The sequence below is a fragment of the Homo sapiens genome, chromosome 1 (genome assembly GCF_000001405.40).
Source record: "Homo sapiens chromosome 1, GRCh38.p14 Primary Assembly".
Lineage (NCBI taxonomy): Eukaryota > Metazoa > Chordata > Mammalia > Primates > Hominidae > Homo > Homo sapiens.
This window is the reverse complement of record NC_000001.11, coordinates 181,371,806-181,391,705: the sequence shown is the minus strand read 5'-3', so window position 1 is coordinate 181,391,705 and position 19,900 is coordinate 181,371,806. Positions and strand designations below refer to the sequence as shown.

The following is a 19,900-nucleotide window of genomic DNA, read 5'->3' as shown; positions in this document are numbered from 1 at the left end:
TCCCTAGAGAACTGGCTCTAGCAAGGTTTGACCACTGGGAGGCCCCAGGGGGAGACTAGAAGAAAGAAAGAAAAGAGGAGCCCGAGTATTTCCCCTCTCCCTCTTGGCTCTAGCTGGCATTAGTTGGCCATGGTGGTGTCTCCTTTGCCACGGAGCTTCCCCCCCAGACAGCCCCTCCCACTGAATTCCCAGCTACCCCCAGGCAGGACTCACCATGGTTGAGTAGGTTCCAGGTTCCAGGGCTTGGGTGCCTCCAGTGTAAACATGGTAACGGCTGCCTGCCCTGGGTTGCCTTCCATCTCTATTTGTACCTATGCAACCAAATCTTTGTATTAATATTCCCTGCTTGAAATACCCAAAGTTGTTTCACAGCTGGATCCCGACTAATACAGAAATCTACAAAGGTTTTTAAGCAGGGGAGTGGCAGGATCTTAGATTATTTTTTGAAAGATTACTCTGGCTGCTGCAAAAACTGCTGATAAAAGAGGAAAATGAGTAGAATTTTAAACCACCCTTAGGTGAGGCTTTTTCAGTAGTCTCAGCCACAGGTGATGTGCCCAGGGCTCCAGTGGTGGCAATGAATAAAGAGTAAAATTGAGAGCGTTGAGCTCTCTTTTTAAGACAGAAGCTAAGCAATTTGGTGATAGATTGGATGTGGGGAAGATTAAGAAAAGGAGAGAATTGGTGATAACTCCTCCAGATTTTTGGCTTAAGTAACTGGGTGGAAATTACAGAGATGGAAAGGTAAGGGCAGGGGCAGTTTGGCGGCCAATCAGCACATCAATCATCTCCTCCTTCATGAAGCCTCGGGCATCTTTCCAACAGGAAGCAATTTCTCCCTCCTTTGTAATCACACAACACTGGAGACACACTATAATTACATAGTTACATGTCCATCTGACTTTTTCCCCTGCTTGAATGCCATGTGTTATAGCTCACTGTATCTCCAACTCTCTGACCTCCACAGCATTTACGGTTCTAGGATGTTGAGCCACAGGGCAAAAGCACCGAGCTGGCAGCCTAACAGAACAGAATCATCTCTAGGCAACAGATTTCAGGCTCAAGCCTCGTACTACACAAAAGCATATGGCTTTCAGCAACCACTCTGAGCCCTCGCTTCCAGTCCTTGATGTGCTTCCCTGACTCATGGATTTACACTCTCCTACTTACGGGCAGCTGTCACTGACCTCCATGCCCAGAATTCTTCTCTGTCCAGCCCATGATTCCATCCTTTGTGGCAGGAAGGACACGCAGAAGCTCAACAAATGTCTATTGAACTGAATCAAGCTGTCATGACCAAGCAACAAAAACAACACCTCTCCTTTTACAGGTTCTCTCGACTTCTTTCACTTTCCTAACTTCTCATAAAAAACAAATAAATAAATAAATAAATAAATAAATAAGGTGTCTCCTCTCCTCTCCTGGGTAATCACTGCATTCAGCAGAAGCCCCTCCTAAGGCGGTCAGGTTAGCAACAGTGGGAACCCTGGCGCCATCGCTGATCCTGTTCCCTTGGGAAGGTGGCTTAAGCCCCCTCCCACTTTGCTCTTCTGAACAGTGGACACATAGCCCTGCCTAGGCTCAGGGGCACCGTCACGAAGAACAGCAGTCAATCACACGGCAGCAAAGTCCTCGTGCTCTCAGGAAGGAAAGTCCTTCCTGGGAAAAGGAAAACAAGCTTCTCACCAGTCCCATGCCAAAGCACAGTCAGCCTCCTCTAAAATCATCTGTATTGTGGCTGCAGCCACGTCAGTCTCCTCCTTCACTTTCTTCCACTGCCTCTTCATTGATTTTCTGAATTAACCTAAATCTCTGTGTCTTCACTTGAAGTATCTCTTAGGACCTATGCACATCTCTTGTCACATTTCATTCTCTCCCTCAGCTCCTTCTGCTCTAAATCAGCACTGATCTCCTCAGCAGCCCCAGTAACAAAGATTTGCAAGTGCCACTCTGGGTGAAACACTGTGCCAGACATGGCTGATGGAAATGAGAGGCTTGTCCAGCTGGAGCTGAGAGTCCATCTGAGGACACGGGACCAAAAGTAAAACACACACAGACACAAGCCACTACCTGGGACCTCCCTGCGACACACGCATGCAAGAAATTTCTGCTATGGCACTATTCTCCACATCCTGCATGAAGCCAACCACTATTTTTCTGCTTCCTTAGGGTCATGGTACAGTCCATCCTCATTAATTGCAGATTCCGTACTTGTGAACTAGTCTAGTCACTAACGTTGATTTGTAACCCCAAGACCAACACTCACAGCTCATCTGTGGACCTATGCAGGGTGTGAAAAAATTAGTCGCCCAACACACTCTTTCTCAGTTGAATTCAGACAGGTAACACGAAGTCTCCTTGTTTCAGCTCTCATGCTGTACACAAGGGCCCCTTTTGTGGTCTATTTAGTGCCATGATTTTTGCATTTTTGCACCTTCTGTTGATGATGGTGCTGCTAAAATGGCCCCAAACATAGTACTGAGTGCTGTCTAGTGTTCCTAAGTGCAAGAAAGCTGCAATGTGCCTCACGGAGAAAATACACGTTACGTAAGCTTGGTTCAGGCATGAGCTACAGGGCTATTGGCTGAGAGTTCAATGCTAATTAATCAAAAATGTATATTAAAGAAGATGTCTTTAAACAAAAACATACATGAAACAAGCTTATGGATTGATCATTTGATGAAAATGTTGTAAGCAGAAGCTCACAGAAACCTAACCCTATACAGTCATGCACCACAAAACAATGTTTCCATCAATGTCAGACAGCATATACAACGATGCTCCCATAAGATCATAACACGTTTTTTTTTTTTGGAGATGGAGTTTCACTCTTGTTGCCCAGGCTGGAGTGCAATGGCGCCATCTTGGCTTACTGCAACCTCCACACCCCAAGTTCAAGCGATTCTCCTGCCTCAGCCTCCTGAGTAGCTGGGATTACAGGCATGCACCACCACATCCAGCTAATTTTATATTTTTTTTGGTAAAGACGGGGTTTCTCCATGTTGGTCAGGCTGGTCTCAAACTCCCGACCTCAGGTGATCCACCCGCCTCAACCTCCCAAAGTTCTGGGATTACAAGCGTGAGTCACCGTGCCCGGCTTATAATACCATATTTTTATTGTACCTTTTCTATGCTTATATATGTTTATTAGATACACAAATACTTACCATTGTGTTACAAGGGCCTACAGTATTCAGTGCAGTAACATGCCATACAGATTTGTAGCCTAGGAGCGATAGGCTATACCATATAGCCTGGGTGTGTAATAGGCTATATCATTTATGTTTGTGTATCTGTGATGTTCACACAATGACAAAATCACCTAGCGATGCCTTTCTCAGAATGTATCCCTGTCATTAACTGACACATGACTGTATTTCCTCTTTGTCTAGAAGCAATGGCTCAGCATTGGCTAATTGAGGGCTCACGGCGACCTTCTAGAACGTTACCGCAGATAAGGAGCACTCACTAACTGGAGCTCTGTAGTCTCCCACGGTTCTCTTAGGCTGTGTCAAAGGAGTGGAACATCTAGCATGATGTTCCAGCGATGGCCGTGCTCTGGCTGCTCTGCTAAGACCACCGCTGGGTGCTCCACTCTCCGGGGAGAAACAAATGTCTATCGGCCAAGGTGACCACAGGAATTGAGACCTTATCCTCAGAGCAAATGTTGAAGGAACTCTTAGCTATCATCAAATACCAGTTCACATGAAGGAGGGATGATCAGGCTTGCTTTATAGGGTCCCAAGGGGGAAGGTTGGGACCCAGGAGTGAACACTACAAAGGGCAGATTTTAGCTCAACCTAGGGAAATGTGTTGCAATAGTTAGAGGTCCTGAGGTCAGGAGGGCAGCCTCATATGGTAATGTAGTCCACGTCGCTGCAAGTGACAACCACCAGGAAGGGACACAAAAAATGCAAGCACTGACTAAATTACATTTGAAAGTCTGTTATTCTATGAAAATACGTTCCCCAAGTAGGAACCAAGACTCTGCCAGGGCAGGATCCCTGTTCCAACACTAAAATTACCACGTCTCCAGTCTCCGTGTACTCTGAAAATGGGGCAACACCATCTGCACTTCCAGTTAGAGAGAACTAGCCCTGGGCACCGTGTCGTGGGCCTTCTGCTGCCACACAACAGAACACACTGAGGAGCAGCTCTCCCTTGGGGCAGGAGCTTCATATACCTTTGGCTCCTGTGGCTGAGGGGAGCTGGGGAAGAGGCAGATCATCTATTACCCCCAAATCCATTCAGAGCAATTACTATGAGGACATTTCCTTTTATGCCTCAAGCTGAGCCTAAAACATAAGCATGGAAATAGGCCCTTTTTTTAATCATTTTAAAACTAGAAGCCTCAGTGGGAAAGTGATTTGACTGTCCAGAGAAAATACAGGAATGGAAAGCAAGCTCGCTGTCACTGTAAAGCACTCAAAGGAGCAGCCCAAGTGTTCAGGGTGGTGACAGGTGCCTGCCTTTCTGCAGGAAAGCTGAGAACTCCCTCCACCTCACCCCACTCACAGCACAGAAACACCCGAGGGCTGGGCAAATGAGACTCTGGAAGGGCTCCCAGAGGTCACACGGCTTGGCTTCTCAAGGACAGACATCCCCTGTGTACTCTCGGAGGGCTGGGGCACACAGTCCTCACGGGCAGCCCATCTGCAACACTGGTATCTGCATCCTTGCACTTTCTACCCATCAGCCCAAGGAAATCAGGAGTCAATCAATCGAACAAAAGTTATTCAATGAACTCAGGCCATGTGGCCTGCGATGAGGCAAAAACAAAAGCCCAAGAGCGGTCCCCACTCAAAGCGTGTGCAGACTCATTGAGGAGAAATGGGAACACACATAGTTACCCAATTAACCAAGAGATTCAGTCAGTACAAGAGGCTTCAGTGTTTGGGGAAGGCTTAAGAGTTGCAGAAGGGCCTACATGGGGGTGCAGGAGGAATTTGATTGTATTCTGGATATGATGAGCAGACAATACTGATTTGTACTGTCCATTATGCTAGCTACTAGCCACGTGGAGCTATTTACATTTCAATAAAATACAATTTAAAACTCAGTTCCTCAGTTATACTAGTCACAATTCAAGTGTGCAATAAATAGTTTCCATGGCTAGCTGCTGCCATGTTGGCCAGAGACCAATTTCCATCACTGCAAAAAGTTTTATTGGATGGCTCTGATCCTGATTGTCCTCACCCCCTTCGGTGTCCTTCAGATGACCTAGAATAAACCTCAAACTGCCTACTGTGGCTCAGACAGCCCCTGCCTTGCTCTCAGGACTCATTTTTGCCATTCTGACCTTACATGTGATGTGTGCCAGCCACACTGATTGAGCTTCTTCCTGACCTTCCACAAGCTGCTCCCTTCAGCAGCTAGCTGGAACACCTCCCCTGCCCCTTTTGTTGCCAGGCTAACTTCTCACCGTCAAAGTATCCCTTCCCTGGGATACTTTGGATATCCTTCCCTCCTGACCCCTTGGATAAGAAGAGGTCTCTTGCTTTGCATTCTCAGAGAAGTCTGTACTTAGACCATCAGAGCCCCACTATCAGTTGTTCACTGATTTATACCAAGTGCCTAGAACATTGCCTGGCTCATAGTAAGCTCTCCTTATTGATTTACAAATGAAAGAATGAATGAACAAATAACACTTTGTTAGAATTCCTTGTGTTGTTGATTGTCAACCATCATAGTTTGCAAATTACATGAGAACAAAAATCTTATTTACCTCATTTGCTACTTTATCTCTACTCTCTTCAGTATATATATGGTAGATGATCAAAATTATGAGGAATAAGAGTAAAATAAATGAAGGAAGGGAGGAAGAGAGGGAGGGAGAGAGGAAAGAAAGGAAGGTAAAGAGAGGAGGAAAGGAACAAAGGAAGGAAAGAATGGAGAAACGGAGGGAGGGAGGGAGGGAAGAAAGGAGGGAGGGAAGTAAGAGAGGAGAGGAGGAAAGAGGAAGGAAAGGAAGGAAGTGGAGTAGGGAAGGAAATAAAAGTAAGGAAAACAAAAGGAAGGAAGGGGTAGGGGCAGAAATGACGGATTCAAAGTCCCTGCCTTAGGAAACAGGAAAAACAATAGTAATTAAGTAACAGAATAGCTGGAGAGTTCATGGCAGCAAGCCGTCTAGCTTTGGCTATTTACAATGCTAGAACAATCATCTCCCCATCACCAATTCAAGGACGCGCTTATAAAGCTTCCTTGAATATCCCCATCCCTGTCACCTCCACTCCCCAACCCAGTGAAATGAAAAATAGAAGAAGTGCAAATTAAGCTCTTTATTACAATTAGCAGCTGAACACAGGCATCACCTGTCTTGCTGTAATGTGATATTCCATCGGAGATGTTCATAATCATAACCCAATGAGGGAGACTGTGAACCAATTCACTGCCTGTTTTTCAACAGCTTTATATGAAATGATTTTTATTACTTGCACTCGCTAGCTATCTCCAAGGAACTCAAGGCAATTTACAAACTTTTAATTCTCATGACACCCTGGCAGTGTAGGAGGTAAGAGTCTAGAATTTATAGATGAAAGGAGAAGAGCCATGCAACAGGATTAAGTGTCTTTCTCTGCTGAGACAGGAGAGACTCACCCTGTCCCCAGAGACCGCCCTTTGTAAGCTGAAGGGAGGGTATTTACAGTGATATTCCCAAAATCCATCTCAGCAGAGACATCAGGGCAAAATCTAGGCTGGAAAGAGTGAAGGTAAGTGAAATGGAAGGCAGTAGTGATAGCAGGTATGGGCTTAATCATTGGTAAAGAGGAAAGAGGCAGGAAAGCAGGAAAGATTTCTTTTATTTTATTTTATTATTATATACTTTAAGTTTTAGGGTACGTGTGCACAATGTGCAGGTTAGTTACATATGTATACATGTGCCATGCTGGTGTGCTGCACCCATTAACTCGTCATTTAGCATTAGGTATATCTCCTAATGCTATCAGAGGGCAGAATGGAACATGGCAGGGTCTGGGAGGGGCTTGTACCGGGAACACCAGGAGTGAGGATCGTCCCTTCCAAGATAGGAGGAGAAGCACAAAGGGTGCAGAGAGAGAGCAGATATTTGAAAGGAGCATTTTAGAAAAAGAACCAAAACCAGAAATCGCAACTTTAAAGATGAGGAAGCCAATAATCAGAGAAGAAATGTAACTTGCCTGAGTCACACAGTGAGCTATGATGGAGAAGAAACGAGAACCCTGAGTTCACTCTGCTACCCTACATGGAAAAAGGAAGTAGTGTTGCTTGGAGGGCCTCCATTTTTCCCCAATAAAATAGGGTGAAGAAAGATTGGGAGCTCAAGAGAGGCAAAAGAAGAGTAGATTTTCCTTCTAAGAATGACACTGGATAATTGGATTTGACATTAGATACTGGGTTTGTCCAGCCACGTTGGTATCCAGCTGAGATGTATACTATATGAATTTTTAGTATAGGTGAATCAGCAGGTATCCCTCACTTTATGGCATAGATATCGCATCTCCGTGTCTTAACACCATACTGATTTCTCATGTACTTCACTGCGCAGTGCAGGTAAACAGGAGATTCTGCTCCATCCAGTCACCCAGGAACCAGAATCCTTGCATCAAAAGCTGTGGTGCCCAATGTGGCAGCCATACCCACGTAGGGCAGTTTAAATGAATTAAAATTAAATAAAGTAAAAAATGCAGTTTTTCAGTCACATTCGCTCCATTTCCAGCGCTCAGTGAGCACATGATTATCATAGTGGATAGCAGAGGCATGGAAAGTTGCATCACCGTGGAAAGTTCTGTTGGGCAGTGCTGCCCTCTGCCAGATCTCTGGCATGCAGCCAGCAGGAAATAAGAGAAAAGGCCTGGATGATGATGTAGGAGGTTTTGTGGGTCAGGTCTGGAGGTGCCACACATCCCTTTTGCCTACGCTCCACAGCCAGAGTTTGGTCACATGTTCATACCCCGTAAGGGAGGCAGGGAAATATAGTTGAGCTGTGTGCCCAGGAAGAAAAGGAAATGGGTTTAGTGAGCATTTGCCAGTTTCTGCCACAGTATATTCTAGCAAATTCCTAAAATAAAAACCTAATTTCCCAACTGAGTTCTGGAACAAAATCAGATTGATGATCCTAAAAGGAGAGTCTCTCCCCACAGACCGTTTTAAATTTTAAATGAGGAAGAGTTAAGATGGTGGTCAGGCTCCTGCTCAGTCAGAGTTTTCTAAAGGCATTTGCCACACACATACTTTCTTAGTTCTAAGCACTCCCAACTGCTCCGTTTACTACTTCTGCTTCCTTTCTGCCCCCGCTTGCCTCATCATCATACCTGTGTAGAGATAAATGAATCAGCATTCACCAGGGAATCTTAGCTCCCTTCTAATTTTTCTGTGCACCTACCACATCCAAAGGATGTATTTGACCTTGAATGAGTTCAATTAAACAACCTTCACTGGACTGTGCTATATGCATGAGCTACATGCAAGTGGGGCTGTGGGGAATAAAGAAGTGAAAGACACTATAACTCAAGGAAAGTTGGAAGTAAGTATAACAATTGGGCTGAGATAAATGCCTGAAAAGAGATACCAATGGGGAAGTTCAAAGGAATGAGAGATGCGGCCCCGGGGGGAAAGCAGAGAAAGATCCCATTAAGGAGAACACATTACAATATGGACTGTGAACACGGCCTGATTTGAACAGGCTGGAATGTGGGGAGGAGGTCCCCAGAAGAGGAGGCAGCTGTCCTGGCCTTGTCTTAAGACAAGATGGCTGGCTGTGTACTCAGAGCCAGTCTCTGGAGAGGAGTCACTTCTCCAGCTTCATCCCACCACCTAAGCCTCCGCCCCTTCTGCATGAGTCCCACTTTACAACACAGGAACCACCATTCCCTGCATCTGACTAGCAAGATAAGACCAGATCAGCTGGAGCAGAGCACCTGAGCAATGGGCTGAGCTAAAGGTTGGGTCAAGCCATGCCCTTAAAGGAAACATTGATTATGAAGCACACGGGAAGCTTTAAAGGACCACACACATTTGAGAGAAGATTGTTATTGCTATTTGCTAAGGTATTTGTACAGAGCAGAGTGGAAAATAAGGTGGTTGGTCAAGGAGTAATATTAGGCCATCCCTAACTCACTTCCAACTCTAAAATTTCAAGGCCCAAATGATTTGGTCATCAACAAGATTCCTAGACACACTGGGTTTTATCAAATCCTGCTCTTCCTACCTTAAATTCTTCCTCTCCACTGCCATTAACCTAGCCCAAGTCACTGGATGCACCTGAACTACTCAAAGAACATCTTAGCTGATTCTGGCTTCCACTCCTCCCCACTCCACAAGCACTTGTTCGCTTGCAGCCAGAGTGACCTTTCTAAAAACCCATTGATAACTTTCTATTGTCCTGAAAATAAAATCTAAACTCACCACAGCCTACCAGCCAAACCCAGTCTCACACTACCTTCCTCTCCCTTACCAACTCTAGCCACACTGCCCTCCTGAACTGTTCTGAGAACAGTTTGGGTCTTTCTCATCTCAAGGCCTCTGCAATCACTGTTCCTCAGCCTGGAACACTTTTCCCCTCATCTTCATATGGCTGGCTCAGCTCAAAGGGCACCATTTTGGATGACCTCTAATTGCCCTATTCCAAATAGCCCCTTCGCTATTTACTGTTCCAGCCTAGGGGCTGTCCCCAGGCTTCTCTTCCCTTGCTCCATGCTTTCTGGCCAGAGATCTCATCTACTCTCCTGCCTTCTGCTCTCACCTCCATGCTCATGTGCACATTTTCGTGGTAGCATTCACCTCTCTGCAGCTGTAGTTCCACATTCTCAACTAGCTCCTGGGTTTTCTCAGCTATATGTTCCCAACTATATGTTCCCTACATAGATTTGGGAAAATAGAATTCACAATCTTTTACAAACCAGCTCCTATTCCTTTCTTATTTCTGCTGATCCGACCACCACACTTCTAGTTTCATAAGCTTACAACCTCACAGTTATATGTAATTAATTCCTTGTATAGAATTAATAACTAACTATTCTATAGTATTGTACAGCATATAAAGGGCTTTCATGTATCATCTCACTAATCACTGAAGTTTTCATTACTATGTTAACAGCTTTATTGGAGTAGAATTGAGTACAATATGAAACATTACCAAAATCAAGATAACGAACATAGCCATTTTCCCAAAAAACTTCTTTGTATGTATCCCTTGGCAATCTTCCCCTTACCCCTCCCCACTTCCTCATCTTCTCCACGCAATCATTGATATGCTTTCTGTCACTATATATTAATGTGAATTTCCTAGAATTTTATGTAAGTGGAATCATATATTACATACTCATTTTTGCCTGGCTTCTTTCAGTCAGCATACTTATTTTGAGATCCATCCCATGTTGTAGCTCATATCAATAGTTCATCCCTTTTTATTGCCACATAGTATTCCATTGTGTTGATATATGGGTTTGTTTATCCATGCATCTGTTAATGGATATTTCAGTTGTTTCATTTTTTGCTATTATAAATACTTCTATGAACTCTTGTGTACAGGTCTTTATATGGACATTTTTTTTTTTTTTGAGATGGAGTCTCACTCTTGGTGCCCAGGCTGGAGTGCAAGTGGCACAATCTCAGCTCACTGCAACCTCCACCTCCTGGGTTCAAGCGATTCTCCTGCCTCAGCCTCCCGAGTAGCTGGGATTACAGATGCCCATCACCATGTCTAGCTAATTTTTGTATTTTTAGTAGAGATGGGGTTTCATCATGTTGGCCAGGCTGGTCTCAAACTCCCGACCTCGTGATCCACCCGCCTTGGCCTCTCAAAGTGCTGCTGGGACAGGCATGGGCCACCGTGCCCAGCCTATATGGACATATACTTTCATTACCCTTGGGTAAATTATTTTGGGTAAAATGGTTATATCATTTTGTAGGTATATGTTTAATTTTTTTTTAAACTGCTAAACTGTTTTCCAACATAATTCTATCATTTTATATTCCCATTATTAGTGTTTCAGAGTTCCATTTCTTCCACATCCTCACTAACACTTCATACCATCAGTATTTTTAATTTTAGCTTTCCTAATAGACATGTAGTGGTGCCTTGTTAAGGTTTTAATTTACATTTCTTAACAACCAACAATAGTGAGTGTACTTTAATGTGCTTATTTGCCACTTGTTTGAATTCAGTTTGCTGAAATTTTGTTTCAGCAAACAAACTATTTTTGCAACTATGTCCATGGGGGATGTTGATTTGCAGTTTTCTTTTCTTATTATATCTTTTGTCTGGTTTTGCTATCGGACTTTTCTGTTTTCTATGTAATTGATTTTAGCTTTGATCTTTATTATTTTCTTGAACTTACTTTGGGTTTACTTTGCTCTTCTTTCTTTTATTTCTTAAGATGGAAGCTGAAGTCACCACTTTGAGATGTTTCTTCTTTTCCAAAATAAGCATTTAGTACTATAAAGTTTGTGTCTTTATTATTTGCAGTATGTTTCTTGTAGGCAGGATGTAGTTGGGTCTTGTTTTATCCAATCTGACAATGCCTCTTTCAAGTGCGGTATTTATTGATAAGTTTTTTCCTCTTTTTCTGCCTTCTTTTGGATAAACTGAATATTTTGTATTGTTCTATTTTATTTCCATTATTGGCTTATTACCTACAACTCTTTGCTATTTTAATGGTTGATTTAGGCTTTATAATATATATATCAAATACATATTATATTTAAATATATATTAAATATATTTACCTTATGATATATATAAATATATATATATATATATCTTATGACAGTCTACCTTCCCACTACTTTAAAGATGTTGCCACTGACTTCCCATTTGCATTGTTTCCAAAAGAAATCTGCTGTCATCCTTACCTCTGTTCCTCTATCCATTATGTGGCTTTTTCTCTGGCGGCTTTTAAGATTTTCTCTTTATCATGTGCTATGATCTAAATGTTCCTGTCCCCCTCAAATTCATATGTTGACACCTAATCATGAATCTGATATTAGAAGGTGAGGCCTTTAGGAGGTGATTATATCATAAGGGTAGAGACCTTATGATTGGGATTAGCCCTCTTATAAAAGAGATCCCAGAGAGCTAGCTAGCCCTTTCCATCAAGTGAGGACACACTGAAAAGGGCACTGTCTATAAGCCAGAAAGTGAGACCTCACCAGACACCAAATATGCCTTGATCTCACGTTTACCAGCCTACCAAATTGCAATAAATAAATGTTGTTTATAAGCTACCCAGTTTGTGGTATCTTATTAAGGCAGTTCAAACCGACTAAAACATAGTGGTTTTGATTTGATATGCCTTGATTATGCAATTTGATTATAATGTGCCTTGGTATAGTTTTCTTCATGTTTCTTTTGCTTGTGGTTTGTAAGCTTCTTGAATTTGTAGATTTATAGTTTTCATTAAATTTGGAAATTTTCAGCCATTGTTTCTTCAAATATTTTTTCTCTCCTTTCTGTCTCTTCCTTTGTGGATTCCAGTTGCATATATACCAGGCTGCCCAAAGTTGTTCCACAGCTTACTAATGCTCTGTTCTTTTTTTAAACACTTTTCCTTTGTCTTACTTTGCATATTTTTATTGCTATGGACTTGGCCTCTGTTTATTTCCCATGTCTCTACTTAACTTTTTGAACGTATTTAATACAGTTATAATAATGATTTTAATGTCCTTGTCTACTAATTCTTACATTTACCTCAATTCTGATTGACTTATGTCCTCATTATGGGTGTATTTTCCTGCTTCTTTGCATGCCTGGTAATTTTTAACTAGATGGTAGACATTGTGAATTTTACTTTATTGGATGCTGGAAATTGTTTCCCCATAAATATTTGTGAGCCTTGTTCTGAGATCTAATTACTTGGAAACACTTCAGTCCTTTTGTGTCTTGTTTTTAAATTTTGTTTTGCAGAATCAGAGTGATGTTTGCTCTAGACATAGTTTTTCCCCACTACTGAAGAAGACTTTTCTGTGTACTCTACCAACTGTCCTTGAATCTTGAGGTTTCCAGTCAGCCTACTGAGAATAGGCACTATTTATGTCTCTGTGTGAATTCTGGGCACTGTTACCTCTAATCCTATCCAGCAGTTATTTCCCCAGCCTTGGGTAGTTTCCTCACATACATGCACTTATAAGTACTCAGCTGAATACTTAAAAGGAATCCTTTCCAAATCTCCAGAGTTCTCTCTGTGTACAAGTCTCTCCTGTCTGTCACTTTGTCCTGTAAACTCTAATCTCTTTGGTCTCCCTGGGCTCTCAGCTTTGTCTCCTCAATTCAGGGAGTCTGCTGGAATCTACCTGGGTTCCTATTCCCTGAAATGCAGCCTGGAATCTCTCTCAAGACAGTAAAGTAAGGCAATCATGGAGTTCACCTCATGTGCTTGCCATTGCTCAAAGATTACTGTCCTTTTTTGCCTGATGTTCAAGATCTTGCAAACTCTTATCTCATATACCATGTGTGATTTTTGGTTATTTCAGGTGGGAAGTTCAATATGGTCCTTTTTGCTCCATCTTGGCCAGAAGCCAGATCTCTGTTATTATTATTACACCTATATCACAAATAAGAAAATTGAAGGAAGGATCAGCCCAAGCTTCCAAATTGTAAGTGGTCTCAAATCCCACAACAAGTCTAGTGCTAAGTTCTATCAATTACTCCCTTTTTACCCATTTCTATTACCATCACTATAGTTAAAATCTTAATGGCCATCTGAATTACCAAAATAATTTCCGATTAACTAAATGATGAAGGACAAAACTATGTGCATTTTATTTATGTCTATATGTTGCTAGCAGCTCCTGCACATTGTTAGGCTTCAATAAATCCAAAGAGAATGGATAGTGTGTTATTAAGAGTATGGAATGCTGGAGCCAGACTGCCTGAGTACAAATACTAGCTCATTGTATTTGTTTATTGGCTATATGATCTTGGGCAAGTCATTTAACCTCATTATGCATTCATTTTTTACTGTAGCACAGGAATTATTATAGTGTCAATATCAGAAGTTATTGTGAAGATTAAATGATTTAACCTAGGTGAAGTGCATAGAACAGTACCTGATACACAGTAAACATTATTTAAGTGTTAGCTAATATTATGGGCTTGAATTGAACTGGTCTCCTTGCTTTCAATTTCTCCTCCCTTTAATTTATCCTCCAGAAGATAATTATTTTAGAAGATGCTTCCTGAATTTTAAGTTTTATCCTATTTCATCCCTGCTGTAAAACCCCTGATGGCTCCCCACATAACCTCCAAAGTGATCCTACTCTCTAACCCCAGCATTCATCTCTAAACACATCTCTCTACCACCACAAATACCATATGAACTCTTTGCTACAATAATATCAATTCATTTGCCAGACCCCAAACAGGTCTTTATTCTTATTCTGGCCTTTGCTCACACAATCACCTCCACTTAGAATTCCAGAATTCTAGCATCTCCCCTTCCACCCAACTCTACCCCTGATCAAATTCCTATCCATGTTTAGAAGTCCAACTAAAACTCCACCTCTCTTATAAAGTCTATTCTGATTACTCAAAAAATATTTAATCTCTATGTCCTCTCAACTCCTTTGGTAACAACTGTCCATGATTTTCATGTAACCCCTTTTTACGTTCTTTATAAGTGCTTGTTGTCATAGACCTAGGCACCTAGAAGGCACTCAGTAAACATCTACTCAATGAACAAATACATGAATTTGACTCATAAAACTAGCGGGGGCATTCAAGGTAAGGGACCATACAGTAAACTCTTTCCTTAACCAGTTCTTCTTCCTGGGAGAAGCTAAGCTCCTCATCATGCAAATGGTAGGAGGAGCTGAGCTGAAAACAGCCACATTATCCCTGACAGCCTCAGGGGTACAGAAGTAGCAAAGGCCACAAAACTCCAGTGCCAGTTTCCAGACTCTTTAATGGGTCTAATTAACTCACCTTCACTGAGTCGAATGTGACAAAGAGAAGCAGAAAATCCCATCAAATATAGACTCAGCCACCATCCTCCCCTGGAAATAGAAAACTAGGAGACAGCAGCTTAGGATACAGAGGAAGAGTGACATGATGTCAAAAAACTAAAACCAGTTCCCATCCCCGCCAACCCTGCAGCAAGACAGACAGTGGGAGCCACCCCTCACCCTCTCCTGCCCCAAGCTGTGAGGGGCCTTCCAAAAATGGGAAACAGGGAACAAAGGAAAATGTAACACAAGCTGCCTCCCAGCATGAGGTCCTCTATGCCTCTATCTCTTAGAGACTCAGGGAGGAAAAGAAAATTAAGACATAAAAATGTGTCCTGGCATATTCTGCACTGCTATACTGGTTCAGGAAACATGCAATAGGCCAATGCAATCGTAGAAGGAAAAGCGGCTCTTCCAGCTCTCCTTCCTTCTTTCTTGCCTCTGCGCCAGAAAGGCAAACAGCTTACCTTCCTGGGTGGGTAATTCTGGTCAGAGTTTATTTGAAGGCAAACAACAACAAAAAAGGAGGAATCCACATAGATGGTATGATTTGTGGAAGGTTTGTCCTAAAATATCTCCAAACCCCATGCCCACTCTCGTTCCCAGCCACCTTAGGTTTCTACCATGAATTCTTCCTACAGCTCAAGCCCTATCCTGGCTCCATTCACTTAAAAAATATTTATTGAGTGCCTTATGTGTGTCAAACTCTTGCACTAGAGATCAAATAATGAGAAAATGCATGCATAGTTTCTGCCCTAATGGAGATTACAGTCTACAGGGAGAAACAGACATTAAATAACTTTTATTTATATGTTATAAATAACAATATGTAATAATTATCTAGTAAGTTATAAATAATTTAACAGATTGAATGAATAATGTACATAGATAAATTTGTAATCATATAATGTGGTAAGTTCTAAGCAGGGCAAGTACAGCATGCTGTTAGAACACGCAACCAGAAAACTCAGCCTCATCAAGGGAATCAGGAAAGGTCTCCCAGAGAAGACTGGAAGGATGAGTAGAAGTAAATCCCTCACGGAGGAGGGGAAGGGGGGCTCCATTGCTTGCCATTGCTTACCAGCTAGGAAATCCACAGCATGATGCCTGACTTACCTGTGTCTCTGTTTCCTCATCTGTAGAATGGGGACTATAATAGTACTACCTGCTTCACAGAGCTGTTGTGAATATTAAAATAAGCTAACCAACACATTCGATGGAAAATTGTTTAGAATAGTTCCTAGAATAGACGAAGTAAGCACCAAACAAAAGTTTGCTTTTGTTATCATGGTTGTCCCTGATCCTCCAGGAACCAGCTCAAGTTTCTCCTCTTAGCAGACTCTATCAGATATCCCCAGAGGTCTTGGCTCAAACCTTGCAGCTGGGGGTTAGATTTCAACATATGAATCTGTTGGGGGGACATAAACATCAGTCCATTGCACATCCCCAGTACCTGCATGATAAGCATAATGTGCACATTCTATAAATATTTCTTGAAAAAATTAACAAATTCCCATCAAGTTGTTTCCCACAGGTGTTATTTGTCTAATGCATCACTAAGCACCTCATGGTCTCCCCAACTTCAGTGTCTAGAAATCTTCTTCAGAGCAACTATTTTTCTTTCACCTTCTAAAAATGTGACACCTGTGACTAATTGTGTTCTCTTCTTATTCTAGCTGCAAAGAAGTTCAGAGCCAAAACTGAAGCCCACTTCATAACTGAGAAGACATTTATGGCATATAGTGTACCCACTTTTTGATTCATCTTAACTATGTTGTATTATTTTGTTTTCACCCTACTAATCCTAATCCTTTTGTATCTTTTATATTTATTATTTGATATATGTAGAAATACAAAAATTATACGTATGGCTCAGATGTGTAAAAAAAGGTTTTACCTTTTTTAAAGCCAAATTTAGTTTTATTATTGAGCCCTAAATCTCTCTAGGCAGTAAGAGAAGGGGCGTTTAAACATGCTGTTTAAAGTTGCTTAAGACCCTGCTGACTTAAAACAGTTTTTCAGCCATGCTCAGTTGCTCACACTTGTAATACCAGCATTTTGGGAGGCTGAGGTAGGAGGATCACTTGAGCTCAGGCGTTCAAGACCAGCCTGGGCAACATAGCAAGACCCCATCTCTAAAAAGCAAAATTTTTTTAATTAGCCAGGCATGATGGTACATACCTACAGTCCCAGCTGTTCAGGAGGCTGAGATGGGAGGATCACCTGAGCCCAGGAATCCACGGCTGCAGTTAGGCATGATCGTATCACTGCACTCCAGCCTGGGAGACAGAACAATAACCTGTCTCAAAAAAAATTTTTTTTTTCTTTTGGGATATCTCAGCTTTTTAAGAGAAAAAAAACTGAATCAATTCAAAGTTGAATTTCCTCCAAAAAAAAAAACATAAAATAATGCCAAGTACTGTCTTGGACAACAGTGCAACAAAAATAGAAATCAGTATTAAGGACATCTCTCAAAACCATACAATTACATGGAAATTAAACAACCTGCTCATCAATGACCATTGGGTAAAGAAATAAATTAAGGCAGAAATAAAAAAATTATTTGAAACTAATGAAAACAAAGATCAAACATACCAGACTTTCTGGGACACATCTAAAGCAGTGTTAAGAAGAAAGTTCATAGTGCTAAATGCCTACATCAAGAAATTAGAAAGATCTCAAATTAACAACCTAACATCATACCTAGATGAACTAGAAAAGCAAGAGCAAACCAACCCCAAAGACAGCAGAAGAAAATAAATAACAAAATCAGAGCTGAACTGAATGAAATTGAGATGCAAAAATCTATACAAATGATAAACAAAACCAAAAGTTTGTTTTGTAAAAGAATAAACAATGTTTATAGACTGCTAGCTACATTAATAAAGAAAAAAAGAGGACTTCTGGGTCCCAGACAAGAGCATTTTCTCCTCCTCTGTGTCTGCCTCTAAAATCTACCTTGGGCCAGGCACGGTGGTCCATGCCTGTAATCCCAGCACTTTGGGAGGCCAAGGCGGGCGGATCACAAGGTCAGGAGATCGAGACCACGGTGAAACCCCGTCTCTACTAAAAATACAAAAAGTTAGCCGGGCGTAGTGGCAGGCGCCTGTAGTCCCAGCTACTTGGGAGGCTGAGGCAGGAGAATGGCGTGAACCCGGGAGGCGGAGCTTGCAGTGAGCCGAGATTGCGCCACTGCACTCCAGCCTGGGCGACAGAGCGAGTCTCCGTCTCAAAAAAAAAAAAAAAAAAGAAAGAAAAGAAAAAGAGAGAACATCCAAATAAACACAATCAGAAATGACAAAGGTGACTTACCATCAACCCCACAGCAATACAAAAAACCCATCAGAGACTATTGTGAATAATTCTACTTATAAAAACTAGAAAACCTAAAAGAAATGGGTGAATTCCTGGAAACATACAACCTTCCAAGATTGAACCAGGAAGAAATTGAAGTCCTGAACAGACCATAATGAGTTCCAAGATTAAATCAGTAATAAAAACCTACCAACCAGAAAAACCCCTGGACCAGATAGATTCACAGCCAAATTCTACCACAAATACAATGAAGGAGCTGGTACCAATCCTACTGAAGTTATTCCAAAAAACTGAGAAGAAACTCCTCCCTAACTGATTCTATGAGGCCAGCATCATTCTGATACCAAAATCTGTCAGAGAAACAATGAAAAAAGAAAACTTCAGGCCAATATCCCTGATGAACATAGGCACAAAAATCCTCAACAAAATGCTGCCAAACTGAATCCAGCAGCACATCAAAAAGATAATTCACCATGATCAAGTAGGATTTATTCCTGGGATTCAAGGTTGGTTCAACATATGCAAATCAATAAACGTGATTCATTACATAAACAGAACTAAAAACAAAACCCACATGATCATCTCAATAGACACAGAGATGGCTTTTGATAATATTCAATATCCCTTCATGTTAAAAAAAAAATATATATATATATATATATTCAACATCCCTTCATGAGCTAGTAGCTCAACAAACTAGGTATCAAAGGAACATACTTCAAAATAATGAGAGCCCCCATGACAAACCAGCATCTTACTGAATGAGCAAAAGCTGGACGCATTCCCCATGAGAATTGGAACAAGATAACGATGCCCACTCTTGCCACTCCTACTCAATTTAGTACTGGAAATCCTAGCCATAGCAATCGGGCAAGAGAAAGAAATAAAAGGCATCCAAATAGGAAGAGAGGAAGTCAAACTATCTCTCTTTGCAGACGATATGATTCTATACCTAGAAAACCCCCTAGTCTCTGCCTAAAAGGTCCTAAAACTGATAAACAATTTCAGTAAAGTTTCAGGATATGAAATCAATGTACAAAAATCAGTATTATTTCTATACACCAATAACATCCAAGCTGAGAGCCAAATCAAGAATGTAATCCCACTCACAATAGCCACAAAAAGAACAAAATATCTAGTAATACAGCTAACCAGGGAGGTGAAAGTTCACTACAATGAGAACTACACAACACTGCTGAAAGAAATCAGAGACAACATAAACAAATGGAAAAAATATTTTATGCTCATGTACAGGAAGAATCAATATCATTATAATGGCCATACTGCTCAAAGCAATTTACATATTCAGTGCTATTCCTACCGAACTACCAATGTCATTTTTCACAGAATTATAAGAAACTATTCTAAAATTCATATGGAACCAAAAAGAAGCCCAAATACCCAAAGTAATCCCAAGCAAAAAGAACAAAGGCATCACATTACCTGAGGTATCACGTTACCCAACTTCAAACTATACTACAAGGCTACAGTAACCAAAACAGCATGGTACTGGTACAAAAACAGATACATAGACTAATGGAACAGGTTAACGAACCCAGAAATAAAGTCACATGCCTACAACCATCTGATTTTCCACAAAGTTGACAATAACAAGCAATGGGGAAGGACTCCCTATTCAATAAGTGGTGCTGGGATAAATGGCTAG

At 41.5% G+C, this 19,900-nt stretch overlaps 1 protein-coding gene across 11 annotated transcripts in view; it reads right to left on the bottom strand.

Annotated features, from left to right (window-relative positions):
• Window positions 1-19,900, bottom strand: part of CACNA1E (calcium voltage-gated channel subunit alpha1 E) — a 490,386-nt gene that overhangs the window by 416,379 nt on the left and 54,107 nt on the right. Inside the window, exon 1 of one of the 11 annotated variants that reach the window (XM_017002251.1) lies at window positions 214-282. The exons of the other annotated variants lie outside the window; for them this stretch is intronic. The gene's annotated coding sequence lies outside the window, so the exon portion shown is untranslated. Of the gene's footprint in view, window positions 1-213; window positions 283-19,900 lie in introns of those variants that run through there. 11 annotated transcript variants of the gene reach the window in all.